Genomic DNA, 15653 nt, shown 5'->3' on the forward strand with positions numbered 1-15653 from the left:
AATCTCAACTTGAATTTTATCCCCCAGAATTCCCACTTGTTGTAGGAGGGACCCAGGGGGAAGTAATTGAATCATGGGGGACAGTCTTTCCTGTGCTATTCTTGTGATAGTGCATAAGTCTCACCAGATCTGATGGGCTTATCAGGGGTTTCTGCTTTTGCTTCTTCCTCATTTTTCTCTTACCATCACCATGTAAGAAGTGCCTTCCACCTCCCACCATGATTCTGAGGCCTCCCCAGCCATATGAGACTGTAAGTCCAAGTAAACCTCTTTTTGTTCCCAGTTTCAGGTATGTCATGATCAGCAGTGTGAAAATGGACTAATACAGCAGACATTTCTCAAAAGAAGACATGGAAATTGTAAACAGATATAGGTAAAGGTGCTCAACATCACTGATCATCAGAGAAATGCAAATCAAAACTACAATGACGCATCATCTCACCCCAGGTAAAATAGCTTATATCCAAAAGGCAGGCAATAGCAAACACTGGAGATAAATTAGTACAACCACTATGGAGAACAGTTGGAGAGTCCTCAAAAAACTAAAAATAAAGCTACCATATGATTCAGCAATTCCACTACTGGGTGTATACCCAAAAGAAAGGAAATCAGTATATCAGAGAGATATCTGCACTCCTATGTTTGTTTCAGATCTGTCTACAATAGCTAAGATTTGGAAGCAACCTAAGTGTCTATAAACTGATAAATGATTAGAGAAAATGTGGTACATATATACAGTGAATGACTATTCAGCCATAAAAAAGAATGAGATCCAGTCATTTGCTACAACATGGATGGAAATGGAGATCATCAAGTTAAGTGACATAATCCAGGCACAGAAAGATAAACCTTGCATGTTCTCACTTATTTGTGGGATCTAAAAATCAAAACAATTGAACTCATGAACATAGAGGGTAAAATGATGGTTACCAGAGACTGGGAAGGGTAGCGGGAGTTTGGTGGAGGGAAGATGGGGATGATTAATGGGTACAAAGTAATAGAATGAATAAGACCTACTATTTGATAGCACAACAGAGCAACTATAGCCAATAATAACTTAATTTTACATTTTGAAATAACTTAAAGAATGTACTTGGACTGTTTGTAACTCAAATAATAAATACTTGAAGAAATGGCTACCCCATTTTCCATGATGTGCTTATTTCACATTGCATGCCTGTATCAAAGCATCTCATGTACTTCATAAATATATGCATCTATTATGTAGTCACAAAAATTAAACATAAGCAATTTTTAAAGACACAAACAAAAACTAACTGCTGCTTTGCTTTGCACAATGAACTCTATTAAAATGTTTTTTCAACTCACTTAAAGATGTCCACAGGTTCCTCCTAATAGTATACATGGGATTTTGCCCCTTTCTGTAAAAAAAACCTGTAACTCCGAAAGAAACTTTCAAACAATTAGCTTCGCCTACATCTAGCTCTGTCACAGCTGTTTAATTTTTAAGCTGTTAATCACCAACATAAAGTTTAAGCTCATACAGTTACTTTTATGTTTTTCTGTATTTTTAAATGACTTACAAGTTGATATCAGGATTTTTAAGTTCTCAGTTTGTTTCCCTGACAAAATAAATTTGACCAAGAAGCTAAAATCTTAAACTGAAGGTGGATTAAGTCAAATACCTGCAGAGGGGCTTCAGGATGCTTCTCTCTCTGCACTGGAGCAGCGGGAACTTCCTGAGGGGGCTTTGATGTCTTCCTTTTGGCTTTTTCCATTTGAATATTGGTGAAATAGTTGACAGCAGCAAACTCGATAAGGGCCGAAAATACAAAAGCAAAGCAGACAGCTATGAACCAGTCCATGGCGGTAGCATAGGACACTTTGGGCAAAGAATGTCGTGCACTGATGCTTAGTGTGGTCATGGTGAGGACAGTTGTTATTCCTTCAAAGCAAAAGAGCAGAGAGACAAAACACCTTACCATCATTTGTATTAAAAAGCACCGCCACCACCAACAAAAACCTAGAAAATCATGTGGAATAGGGTTAACAAAACTACAATAACTCAAAGAAAACCATCTTTGATGGAGAATTGGAATCTTAGTGGTTCAATAAAATTAGCACAGGCTTTGGAGTGAAAGATATGGTTCTAATCCTAGTTTTTCTCATAATTGGCTTAATATGTCCTGCCTTGAGTTTGGAAAATTCTTTGGGCTTTATTTGATACCCACTGATTGGGTTTTCTATAAAGGTTAAAAGCATGTAACGCACGTAGCACACAGTGGGATGATCCTGGAAACTGAGCCAACACACCCAACGGACTCAACAGACACACACCTCTCAGGAAGAGTAACTCACTGAAGCACTGACTCTCATCCAGGAATGGAAAGTGAGCAACACTGGCCTCCTAAATTTGAGCATCAGAATTTCTGGAGTTAAGCATGGCCCACTGCTATTGAGAACCACTGCCAGAAAAGGCATGAATTATACATAGGTCTTTCTTATCTTTAAATATTATCTATTGAATTAAAATACTAAATTTACTAGTTGTGCAGAAGCCTCATTTTTATAAAACAATAAAGTTATATTACTGGACGAATAGATTTCCAGAGCAATTTGGCATTATAAATATTGGACCTTTACCACCCATCAGTTTACAACTGGCTGGAAAATATTTGCAAAAGGAACAGAAGTACTTCTCCTCCATCAATAGGCTTCTGAAGCACCACATCCAGGAACGCTTTCTCCTTAGCTTGGAAAAAATGTCAGTTCCCACTCTTAGCAGAAAAATTCTCCTTGCCACTGGTACTATAGAGTAACACATTATTTAAGAATGTTAATATTTGAACTCTTGTCTATTTCTGCATCTATATATGTCTGTCTAATCCATGTTATGCAGTTAAGTCTGGAAATTTTTGTGAGGATTTGCTACATCCATTTAAACTGATTCTATATAATGACTAGGATAGCTCCTGAAGTTGACACACAACACATTTGGGGATGGTGATGATGATAATAATAGAACAATGATGTTGAAGGCATTTAAACTGCATATTGTAATCCATGCCAATCCCCAGCTGAAAGGCAAATAATGCATGTTCAACCAAAGAAATAATGAGTCCGATGCAATATTAAAGGAATAAGGTATTTTGATTTGGAGAAAATAATATTGTCTCCTCAATTCAGAATTTTGTTGTATTCTGCCTACTACTGTTCCTTAACTGATACAGGTGTGTAATCCTCATTTCCACAGCTTTATTAACCATAGTCTTCTTGAGGGTAGACAAGCCTAAGATTGCTTCAGGTTTATAATATGTCACATGGTGCTAGGCACAAGATAAATGCATGGAAATAAAAACTCATTTTTCCAGTTCCTCACCAATCCATTTTCTCTGAAATTCGGTCTCTTCTAAATCTTCAATGCTTAGAACATGAAAAATTGGAGCAACTGTGCAACACATGAGCTACACATCATTTATAAAGATCTGAGAATCCATACAGAGAAAGAAACTTGAGAATTTGGTTGTACTCCCTTTTAAAAATATTTTGTGACATTGTTAGCATTCTTATTAGTCTAAAATAGATTATAAAATGAGTTTATTCAATATATAAATATCTGCATATCTATGAAAATGCTATATTGTGAATTTATTGGGTTTTATTTCAGAAAGGGACCTTGGAACATTTAGGCCTTCATTTTGAATCTCAGAAAAGTGGCACCACTCCCATGTTGGCTGTGAGATATATGAATAAACAATAAAATAACTGAAAATTTTTAGCTACGTTTGACAATAGATGAAAATGTTTTTCTTGTTCATAACAATTTAAATTTAATGGGGTATTAAGAATTCAAAAATGTTCTATAACTTTCTCAGATATATAAGCAATATTTTTCCTCTAATGTCATAGAAACAATGCTAAAAGCAGTTAGAATAAAATATGAACAGTGCAGTATAAATAATAATACTACTCAGTACTCAGAAAATTCTACACACACCATAGTGTGATAACCAAAAAGGATACCCAAATTCAAATACAAGCAACTTAAGATTCCCTATGTTACTTTGAACTTTTTTTTTTTTTGTAATAGGACTATTTTTCTTGGTGATCAGAAGTAGTGTTCTTCATCTTCTCCTCTTATCATGTGAATAAATGTCCTTACCAATGTCAAGCAAACAGAATACTAATGCAGTTATTGACCCATAAATTCAGTAATTACTTTCCAATTGTTTAGGAGGATAGATCACCAGGTTCATGAGTTAAGTGGTGATGTGGATTATACTGGTTTATTATACTGGTGGATTATGAAAACCAGTGGAATAGCAAACAGAAACCAACTCTTCAGAATAAGAATCCATGCTTCCTCTGCATCCAGGAAGACAATTCATCTGTCGTGTATGGCTTAGCCGGCATCTACCCTGAACACATTTAAAAGCCATATTTTAAAAAATATATCCAATTATTGATGCCATTCCCTGCATTTAGCATGCTGAATATGCACCATATTGGCTGGCCCAGAAGCTGAGTGAGGATGTGTAAGAGTAGGCAAAGACTGTACACAAGAGTGAATTTTTGGCTGGCCACTCCTAGAAAATGAAATAGCAATGATTAAGATATGCCAGCTGGCATTTACTTGTGTTTAATGTTTTACTATACTGGAATAATTAGAAAACTTAGAGGCATACAGCTTTGGAGATAGAAGGCCTTTGGAGAGATTTTTAGGACACTCTGCTCCTTTTATTACACTGATTTTTTTTGCTTTGTTTTTACACAGTCTCTAATGATGTCTCTGACCCAACAAATTATCTTCTTATGAGTGGAAAGGGAAATAAGAGTTAGGAAAGAAAAAAATTTGCCCAGAATTAATATTTACCTAAATCTCATATGAAAATAGCTTGCTAATTTCCTCCTAAATACTTAAAACTTAACTTTTCTAAGAAAGTACCTTCATAGGCCCTCAATGATAGTCTAATAATTATCAATCTGACACATCTTAGGTCTTTGAAGACTTAATTACAGACATAATTTGTCTGCTCAACTGAAAACAATATCTTGGCACATGGGCACAAAAGATGGGTAAATTTCTAATGAAAAAAAAAACACCCACAAAGCATCTTTAGCACATATCCATGTAATCTCACTCAGCAGTTCTGGAACTCTCCACAAGCCCCCACATCCCCACACCTCCTGTGAAGACAGACTGACTGAGTTGTCAAAGTTAGACAGAAATTGTCTTGGGTCCACCAATTACAATTTGATTTTATACAAGTTTCTTAATATGTTTGAGTCATTTCCCTTAACTATAAAAATAATGACTACCTTGCTGAGTAATTATTAAGGTTAACAATATTTGGCAAATCTGTTTATCATTGGTACTAGTAATACTAATATCCTTACTTCCTGCTACTTCGTTTTCTTAAAATATCTTGTTTGGATAGGAAATGTTGGGTGAGTACAGCTGTAATCAATACTAGCCTTCCCCACACCACTGGAAATTTCTATTATTTTGGGACAAGTGAGATGAACAGTACCTGTCATGTTGTAATCAATCAAGAAATAAATAAAAGGTTATCAAGTCATCACAATAATAATAATATATGGCAGACAGTCACATTAACCTATCAAGTAATAATTCTCAAATGAAGTAGACAGCAGCATGGAATGCCATACTAATAAATAACACTTAAATCATATTTACTATGTGTGAGGCATTATTTCAAGTGCTTTTCTAAATCAACTCATTTAATCCTTACAGCAGTCCTGTGAGGTAAGTGCAATCATTCATCCTGTTTTAACACATGAGGAAGCTGGCAAATGTAACTTATTGAAGGTCCACAGCTAATAAGTGATAGTCCCTTGGTTAGAAGGTAGGCTTTCTGCCTCCACATTCTGCACTTATGACACTATCACCTCTTGATTACAGGCACCTATGATGGATCGTTAATTGCTGTTCTACACACTCTTTAGGATCATTTAAAAAAATGTATACATGAGTTTTTTTATGCGTAAAATATAATAGAAACTTCTGGGTTTTCCTTTAAATTTTTAATGAGGGTAGCTCCAGAAATATTTGTATTTTTTTGTACAAGAAAAAAGTTAAGAGACTTTGGATGCTCAGTTTCAGTAGATACTTCTTGCCTAGTCAGAGTGCTTCAAAAGATGATGTGTAAAGACACAAAATTAGCTTGAGTGTTAAATGAGATAATGAACATCAAGAAGTTAGCAGAGCATCCAATAGTACAACACTAGAAAGTTATGCTTTCTTTAAAACACTTAAAAGTCAAGGAAACTAAGTCTGAACAAAATCTATCTTCCTTAGATAAGAGAAGTATTGGAGAAAGTAATTAATACGAACTAAGTGGTCCAGATACCCTATATTGAGAACGATACATAACTTTTTAAATCCTCACTAGTCTATGAGGGTGAGATGTATTATCATAATTTTATGAATGGAGAAAATAAGTGGCAGATTTGGGTTTAAACCTAGACTTGCTGACACCTACAGCTTAGATTTGTTTTTTTCTCTCTTCTGCTTTCAAACTTATATTTAAGAGCTAAAATTTATTCAACACTTTGAGTTGTGCAGTTATTCTTTAATTGAACCCTTATAACTCTTTAAGGTACCATTATACCTCCTCACTGCTTTCCTAAGATCACACCCTCCCTCCACCATTGCCCCCCCATATGAGTTTCTCCAGTATACTTCCAGTACTTTTTCTTTCTATTTTTTTAATGCATCCTCATACTCCAACACCTTCTTAGAGAAACCTAAGATTAAAGGGAGGATAGTTGTCTTTAGAGTATTTCAGATCCATTGAGGACACTAAGACACCCTAATCAATAGTTCTTGAAAAGGATGGGGAGGTAGGATGAAAAGTTCCCGTTCTATTTAGTTCCTTCGCACCAGCATCTCTTCAGCTATTGTGTGATAAAGGATATTATACCATGGCTGTGATCCTACTAGGTAGAAAATCAAAGAGGAATTGGCACTCTTGTGAGGAATACACCACCATTCCAGAGCAATTCTGATCATTTTCCTTCTTATTCTACTACTGAATGCTTTTGTTACTCACAATGAACAGAAAAAGAATAGAGAAAGACATTAACTAAAATAAATATAATTATAACAAATTATACTATTTAAAAGCATGACTGACATGTAGAACACATTAACTTATAAAAATTGTAAACTCATATGCTCTGAACTTTATATTGTTCAGAATACTATACAGTATATATGAAGCCACTATAAAAACAAAAAGAAAAACCAATGTTTAGAAAAAAAAGAAGTAAGTAAATATATGAGCTTATAAACTAAGCATATAATACCTTCCAATTCAATGCATTTAAACCGTTTGCATTTTGTTCCTCTTCATTAAAAGCTAAATTATTCTAAGGCTTTCATATTCATTCAGCCATGACTTTTATTTGTTTTATTTTAAGCTGCCAGTGCATTTCTTTTTAACATGGAGATATAATTTTAATTCAATTACACAGCATTATACTAGGAGCCCAAGAATATCACTGAAAGTGAGATTATGTCCAGATTCACATTTGGTCTATGCCTGTCTGGTTCTCAACAAGGGAAATCTGATGCCTGGCCCCAGAGGAAAGGAAGGATGCCCAAATCTCCCCAAGCTTTATTACTTTGTACTGGCTAGATAAAAATGAAAGCCATGTGATTCCTTATTCAGGATAGCCTGATGTATTAGGGTTTAAGATTTTCTTAGAAATATCCCATGAATCATGAATAAAATGTAATGTGAACAAAAACGCCCAAGAAATGAATTGCAATTACCAAATACAGTCCTAGCGGGAACTGATTCTTTATTTATCCAAAATGAAACTTGAGAAAGAATCACTGTCATAATGCACGGAATATAGGTCTGAATCATAAAATAACCCATCTTCCGTCTGAGGTGGAAGTAAACCGTCATAACAATATATTCACCTGCCAAGAAAACAGGAGGAAAATGTGTTATCGGTTCTGCAGGCAATTAGTCAATGGCTTCATAAACATATTTCAGACTAACAAACAGGATTCTAAGGAAAGAAATTCTCTTTTGTGCATAGCTACACAAACATCAATAAGTATGTAGTTTCCTAACGAGGGAGAAAATGATATTGAACGTTATTATACAGAAAAACTCTTTGTTCCGTGTAATGATTAAGCAATTTAACAAATTGGGCTAAAACTTTTAAAAATGTTCTGTAGTGCTTTCTATTTTGATGGTCTAATATTGCTAAGGCAATTAGCTTTCATTTTCAGCGTTTTTTAGAAACAGCATTTAGACCTATCTTCTATGAAAAACCACTAGAAAAAAATAGAAATGCACACAGTTACACATACACAGACACTGACACATACACACACATTTATGAAAATATAAAGTTTAATTTTAGAAAGTAATAAATATACATATTTATATATAAATATATTTAAATTTCATTCATATATAGATTTCATACACAGTCACAAGCTTAGAGAGAGGCTACCATAGTTTTAGGAAAGAGGTGAATTTCTAAATGTTCTTTATATGAAGAAAAATATAGACGTGTATAACATACAGGCATATATAACACCCCTGAGTTCAAGCATGTTTTACTGGCATTTAGACAAAAACCTGAAAAACTAATAAGTACAATAAACCATAAGATTTCTGGTAGCTGTTGATAAGTGTTTTTACTGTTACCTCTGAAAAGAATATGTGAAGAAAGTTATCTAGGAAGCAGTGGCCTTATTCACAAACCATGAGGCCAGCATTCAGAAACCTCACATCCTACCAGATGTGTTCTAAATCCCATTTGCAGACTGGAAAATAAATGCCCTTCCAAAAATAAATTTTCCTGGACAGATGAGAGGCAAGGTGCCCTTTAGAAAGCTACTGTATTGTTTCATAATTGATGTGAAGAAGGTTTCCTCAAAATGATAATAGTCATGACAGGTGTCATAAAGATAAAAGTAATGGAAATTTAGGAGAGAGGAGCAGTGCCATTGATTTTATGACAAAGACAGTGTGTGACTTATACAAAGCAGTTTTAATAGAAGAGACAGTGGGCTAAATTCCTTTTTAAAAACAAAGACTTATGTATTAATTTTATTTATCCATAATAAATTTCTATTTTATCTTATTTATGTTTAATTTTTAACCAATTTTTTGAGGTATGATTGACATACAAAAAGCTGTACATATTTAATATATACAGCTTGATGAGTTTGGAGATAAGTATACACTCATTAATCTATCACCACAATCTATGCCACAAATATATACATCACCCCCAAAAGTTCCCTCCTTCTTATTTATTATCTTCTGTGATAAGAACATTTGAGACCTATTCTCTCAGCAAATTTTTAAGTAGACAATACAGTACTGTTCACTATATGCACTCTGCTATGCGGTGGATATCTAGGATTTATTCACCTTACAGAACAGAAATACTATGCCCTTTGACTAATACCTCGCTGTTTCCTCCTCCCGGAGGCCCCTGACTACCACCATTCCTCTCACTGCCTTTCAGTTTGACTATTTTAGATTCATCATCCCTTCACAACACTGCTTTATCCATTTTTTCTTAAAACAAAAACAAAAAAAAACTTTGTTACCTCACATCTTTGCTCCAGATCTTAAAACTACTCATTTTCTACTAATGCAGTCTTAGCATTTTATCTCGCAGTCAACACCTTTTAAGAACACAAACTCAGAAGTCATAACACTTAGATGTGAATTTGGGTTTTGCCAGTTATTAGCTGTATGACTTAGGCAAATACATTGTACTTAAACCTTTCTCGTGTATAAAATAAATGTTATAGTAGTATCCACTTCATGGGATGGTTATGAGAAAAAAATACATGGAAATAATTTAGAAGGGTGCCCATCAGATGGTGATTGCTGAATAAAGTTTAACTATTGCTATGGTCTAAATGTTTGTGGTCCTCAAAGTTCAGATGTTGAAACATAATAGCCAATGTAATAATAGGAGGTTGGCTTTGGGGTGTTTAAACCATGATGGTGGAGCCTTTATGAATAGAATTAGTGCCTTTATAAAAGAGGCCCCAGTGTGAGCACCCACTCCCTACACCTTTGGGGTCCCCATGTGAGGACTTATTCATAGAAGGTACTATTCTGTGAACGAAGAAATGGGTCCTCATTGAACACTGAATCTGACTGCACCTCATCTTAGACTTGTCAGCCTCCTGAACTGTGAGAAGTAAATTTCTGTTGTTTATGAGCCGCCCTATTTGTGTTGTTTTGTTACAATGGCCCAAACAAACTAAGTTAACTATCATAAAAAATATTTTTTCTGGTGATATGTGTATGTAAGGAACAGTCTTAGAACAAGCAATAATCAGCTAATTTTTCCACTAAATATGATTAAAAACTAAATTCTATAATTCTTCCTATTCACATTCCAAAAGAAAAGAGAGACCAAGAATCATAAATAATAAACATCCCCCCTACTCATGTGATAACCTTAATGTATACCCATAATATACTTTGTAATTAAGTTTTAGATTTTTGTTTACTTTCAGAAAATGAGAGAAAGTGGCACCACAAAATTGGGCAAGATAAAGGAAAATTTTTGGAAAGCCCCACAAAAATCATCAAAAACCGAAAGCAGAAACAAAGCAAAGACAAAAAACAAGATCAGACTTCCTACCACATAATTTTGTGAAAATAATTTTAACATATTTGATTACTGGCTTTCATTTCTGAATAAGAAAACCAACTCACTTTTAGCATCTTACTAAATCAGAATTTATTTTAAACTAAAGTAAGATTATAAATATAAAGAAATTATGAGCTATAACTCATGCATCAACTCTATTTCTGGAAAATGTTTGTTGTTCTCCTGAAAAAATTAACTATTTCAATGAAAAAGTCAGGAGAAAACTTTATTGCTAACACCAAGTAGCATGTCGGCTTTAATCATTACACATCTCACCCGTAATTGATTTGATGGTTTCACTTGATACGGTTTGCCCAATCAAATCATATTGAACTAAGCTGGAAGACTCCTTCGGAACTTCAACTGATTTCTCAGGACCTTTTGTCCAGGTATAGATCATCTCACTCTTTGGATAGGCATCTAAAAGAGAGCACAGAATGTGGTTAGAGTCAATGCTCCTTTTTCATCCACATCAGTGGTCAACACTTAAAAACAGTACTTGTTCAAGAAAGATGGAATAAATGAAAACAATGTTCACTATAATTTAGTCACTATAATTTAGTTCACTATAATTTAGTCAAACATCTTTAAGATTTAGAAAACTAGAGACTAAGTAAATACCCCTGCAACTCAACAGTATTTATTTTTTATGCCAAATAAAGGAGGAGGAGATATTAAAACTGAAGCATCTAAAATGCTACATATGCATGAATACACTTGGATGTGTGTCCATGCCAGTAGGATAAACAGTTCAAAAGCAGATATATTGAACTCCCAAAGCCGTACTTCTAACTCACTTCCAATGCTTGACCAATACCATCCTAACACAGTTCTGCTATTTAGAAATGCTGCCTGTAATAATACAATAACAAAACCAAACAAATCCTACTGTTAGGAGAGCTCCCCTGGGGTCACCTGTTCCAAACTCTGCCTCTGGGCAATATCCACTGTGTTTGGGGACCATTGTACAGTGACAACTGGCTATGTTGTTTGTAAAGCTGTCCAGGGAATATAATTACACAACCAATTCCACTACCTTTAATTTCTTACAATCAGGACATTTCCCCTTACATCTTCAACAAATCTCTCCCGGTGGCAATTTAAGCCCATTTTCTATTATTTGGCACTCTGTGCAAATGGAGAACAGCTGCTTGCTTACCAGTCTACCCATAACAGACAGCTTGGCTCACACACAAGTAAGTTCAAAAGAACCAAAATGAATTGTGTGCCAACCTCCCTCCAAACCATCCTAAAATGGCTATAGCATAGTAGGTCCTCAATGGAATCATTTAATTCTTCAAAAGGAGTTGACACCTAAGAGCACCTTATGAAACAAACTATGAGGCTTGTGTTGTCATTTTAGCACCATTCAGTTATATTATGTGTCAGCATTTATTTCCAGAAATATATTCACACTTCAGTAAACTGTTACAGCCTCTGTATACTATGTTCTTGTCTATGATATTGCAAATTAAGTATCCTTCCTTTGGCTACCCTACCTTGCTAGAATAACCTTTTTCTTTCCTGGTTTTTCTAATTCCTCTGAATTGTAAGCATGGGGGTTTTAAATAGTGTTTTGTGTTTTCTTCCTCTTTCCAGATTAATTAAAAATCCTTACCTGCTGAGTATGGTGTGCCTCTCTTTTTAATTCCCAATCCAAAAACATCAGCTTCCAATGTGCAATTTCTTTATTTTATACAAACCCTGATTGAACACGAACTATGTTCAAGTCCTTCTGAAGAGAGCTTTTTCTGAGAACTAGAGGTTGGGATGCGGGGAGTGAAAAGGACTTCCTCTACATGAGAACTAATTTGGGTAAAATTTGAATGATTACAGCACAAATGGATTTTAATTCTGGCCCCAATGAGATCACCCTGTCTATGTATTTTTCTGCCTTTATCTTCTCTCATTAAATTATTGGTAAGAGAACATAATACTCTCTGGCTTCAAGTTAGCCCACTGAATATTGTGATTACTAGGGGTTATAAAAAGAATAGTGACTGCCGATTCTCATTAAGTTAAGCAATGAGCGATGATAACAGCAGGCAACAGTTTCACAATCAGTGCGACTAAGAATCTGAAGCAATAGTAAAAGCCAGCATCTATTTTTAGTAGATTCTGATTGAATTGAAAATGTGAGGCAGACCTTAGAAAAGGCAATCACATTTTGCTGCCATCTCAGAGAAGGGAGCTTAAGGGAAGGAATCTCATATTGTTTTCTATCCATTCATCTCATCCTGTTGCCTTCATTTCTACAAAATTTCCCAAACATATCTATTTCACACTTTCCTCTCTAGTACCATCCTAGTCTAAGCCACTGCCATCTTTGCTTGTACTAAAACAACAGCCTCCATTTCTTCTCTGCTGCTTCCACTCCAGCCTCTCTACCACCCATTCTCAAAAAAAAAAAAAAAAAAAAAAAAGCGGAAGTGGAACTGTAAAATGTCAAAGAAAGCTACACTGTTTTGTCAAACCTTCCAAAGGCTTCCCATAGCTTTTAGATAGAATCCAAACTCCTTAATGTGCTGTATAAGGCATTATATTAACTCAGACCACACCCCTACCATGCTTTTGCCATGCTTCAGTCACTGTTATGCTAACAGTGCTGCTTCTGTCATTTTAACCTATACTGTGTCAGGAAGCTCTGAACCTTTTATGGACTTCTTCCAAGTTAGCTATGAAGGACTGCTTACAATAGAATATCTATATATCTATCTATGTATCTATCTATCTATCTGAAGTGATATGTGTTATAATTATATCAATTATATATATATTTATCTATATAATTTGTACTTTCTGTGTAACACTACCAACATGTAGAGTTCAGAGGTCCCTAAATTTCACCACTGATCACCAGCCAATTGTGACTAAGACTACTTAGATTATCTGTATAAATAGGTTTTTGTTTGTTGTGGGGAAAGGAGGTTGTTTTTATTTCTTTATTATAAAATATTAGTTAATGAAATCTCCAGAAATAAAACCGGACAGTTTTTGTTATGGACCATGACTTAAATGTTGGATTATGAAAAATAAAATACATGTGTAAATATTAGCTTGCATGAGGTAATCATAAATTCTAGCAAAATTTTTATTATAACTTACAACTCCCGAATTTCAAAGGGCATGCATGACCATCCATGGGAAAATCCACCAATCTCATGGGACACTCCGCACTTATGGTGAGTCTATGATGAAAAATGCAATTAAATAAAATCAACCCTTTTAAAGAATAATTGTGACTTTAGATTCTAAAATAGGAAGGAAGGGAGGGAAGGAGGAAGGAAGAAGGGAGGGAAGAAAAGGAAGGAAGGAAGGGAAGGAGGAAGGGAGGGAGGAAGGGAGGGAGGAAGGGAGGGAGGAAGGGAGGGAGGAAGGAAGGAAGGAAGGAAGAAAGGAAAGGAAAGAAAGAAAAGAATAAAAAAGGAAGGGAAGAAGTAAAAAAAAATATTACCTCATTGTGTATAAAATAGTACCATTTCTCATAATTCTAAAAAGCTTATTTGGAGCTGTCATATTATGTGAGACAGATTTCTTTCCATTCCTGAAGAAAGTATCAGGGGTCCACACTTTCGTTACCATCATATTGTTCAATCTCAAAATTTCAATGGGGCCGTCATATTTTAATCTTTTGTCAATCCATGTCTGCCTGAAGAACACATCCATTGTGTATTCCTAGGACAATTATTTTGGAACATATTTAAGTTGCAAATGACTACACATAAGTATGTGAAAATAATGCATTAAATTCTGTCTTCCTTCATGCTCATAAAAAAATACCACTCCAAATAAAATTAATAGGAGCAGGAATGATCTTGAATCAATGGAGCAAAAAGATTCTCAGCAATTAGAATAACTTTTATCCATCTTGATACCTTCATCTTCTACATTCATAAGATAAATAAATTACCACACATACTAATAATTTAATAATAAATTTGCTATAATTTAAGAAAACTGCCAGTACCAGGTAGTTACAATTGTGTTTTACTTTAGACTAGATAGCAAAAATCAGTTAAAGTGTAAAAAATATCATGCACAATTAATCGTGTAATTGTAGGCATTTTAAAGACAAAATAATATGTGTAAGAGATATTTTATTTTCACAAAGTTTATTAAAATGAGTCAAATAACTCAAGGGTTTCAAATTACTAGGAGCTTTAAATCAATGAATAAACTAAAGTAAGTTTTTTGTCTTGCAAACTAAATATATTTAATATAAGAGAGCACAACTGTATGGATGAATTCTTCCTGACCAGTGCTTCGTATTCTAAGCTCTTAAACATGAGTGAGAAGGAGGCAGAAGGGCTGGGATGGGCAGCAAGCAATTAGATCAACATGAAATACTAAATATAATGAAAACTATAAAATAGTGTACACGACTAGTTCATACTGAAACTAATTATCACCTCTAATTTTCTCCTCCTCAATAGTTTCCTAAAGAAAAAACAGCCGGGCACGGTGGCTCATGCCTGTAATCCCAGCAATTTGGGAGACTAAGGTGAGAGGATCACCTGAGGTCAGGAGTTCGAGACCAGCCTGACCAACATGGAGACACCCTATCTCTACTAGAAACACAAAATTAGCCAGGCACGGTGGGGCATGCCTGCATTCCCAGCTACTTGGGAGGTTGAGGCAAGAGAATCACTTGAACCTGGGAGATGGAGGTTGCAGTGAGCAAAGATCCCGCCATTGTACTCCAGCCTGGGCAACAAGAGCAAAACTTCATCTCAAAAAAAAAAAAAAAAAAAAAAAAAAGAAAAAGAAAGAAAGAAAAGAAAAGTAAAAAGGAAAGCAAAAAAGCTGCACCCTAGGTTGTGCTATAGGAACCAGTAATAGGAAAGTTCTTCTCTTTGTTTAGAATGACCCTAAATCAACAAGTACTCAAATGTTACAACTGAAATGCAAATTGAATGAGATTCAATGTCTTACTCTTCATACATTCTTAAGTTTAATTAGGGATTCTTTAGGTTTCTGGCTTTGTGTGATTGACAACAAAATAAATATTAATTGCCCTCTTT

At 34.8% G+C, this 15653-nt stretch overlaps 1 protein-coding gene across 3 annotated transcripts in view; it reads right to left on the minus strand.

The window, feature by feature from the left end:
- GABRA4 (gamma-aminobutyric acid type A receptor subunit alpha4) overlaps positions 1 to 15653 on the minus strand; it is a 74682-nt gene that overhangs the window by 44424 nt on the left and 14605 nt on the right. For 2 of the 3 annotated variants that reach the window (NM_001204266.2, NM_000809.4), the window contains exons 4-8: positions 14087 to 14307; positions 13738 to 13820; positions 10909 to 11052; positions 7760 to 7912; positions 1647 to 1906 (exon numbers count right to left, since the gene is read on the minus strand). In NM_001204266.2, the coding sequence (NP_001191195.1) occupies positions 1647 to 1906; positions 7760 to 7912; positions 10909 to 11052; positions 13738 to 13820; positions 14087 to 14307 (861 nt within the window). The remainder of the gene's footprint in view (positions 1 to 1646; positions 1907 to 7759; positions 7913 to 10908; positions 11053 to 13737; positions 13821 to 14086; positions 14308 to 15653) is intronic. The other variant, NM_001204267.2, reaches the window with a different exon arrangement.

This window comes from Homo sapiens, chromosome 4 (genome assembly GCF_000001405.40).
Source record: "Homo sapiens chromosome 4, GRCh38.p14 Primary Assembly".
NCBI lineage: Eukaryota > Metazoa > Chordata > Mammalia > Primates > Hominidae > Homo > Homo sapiens.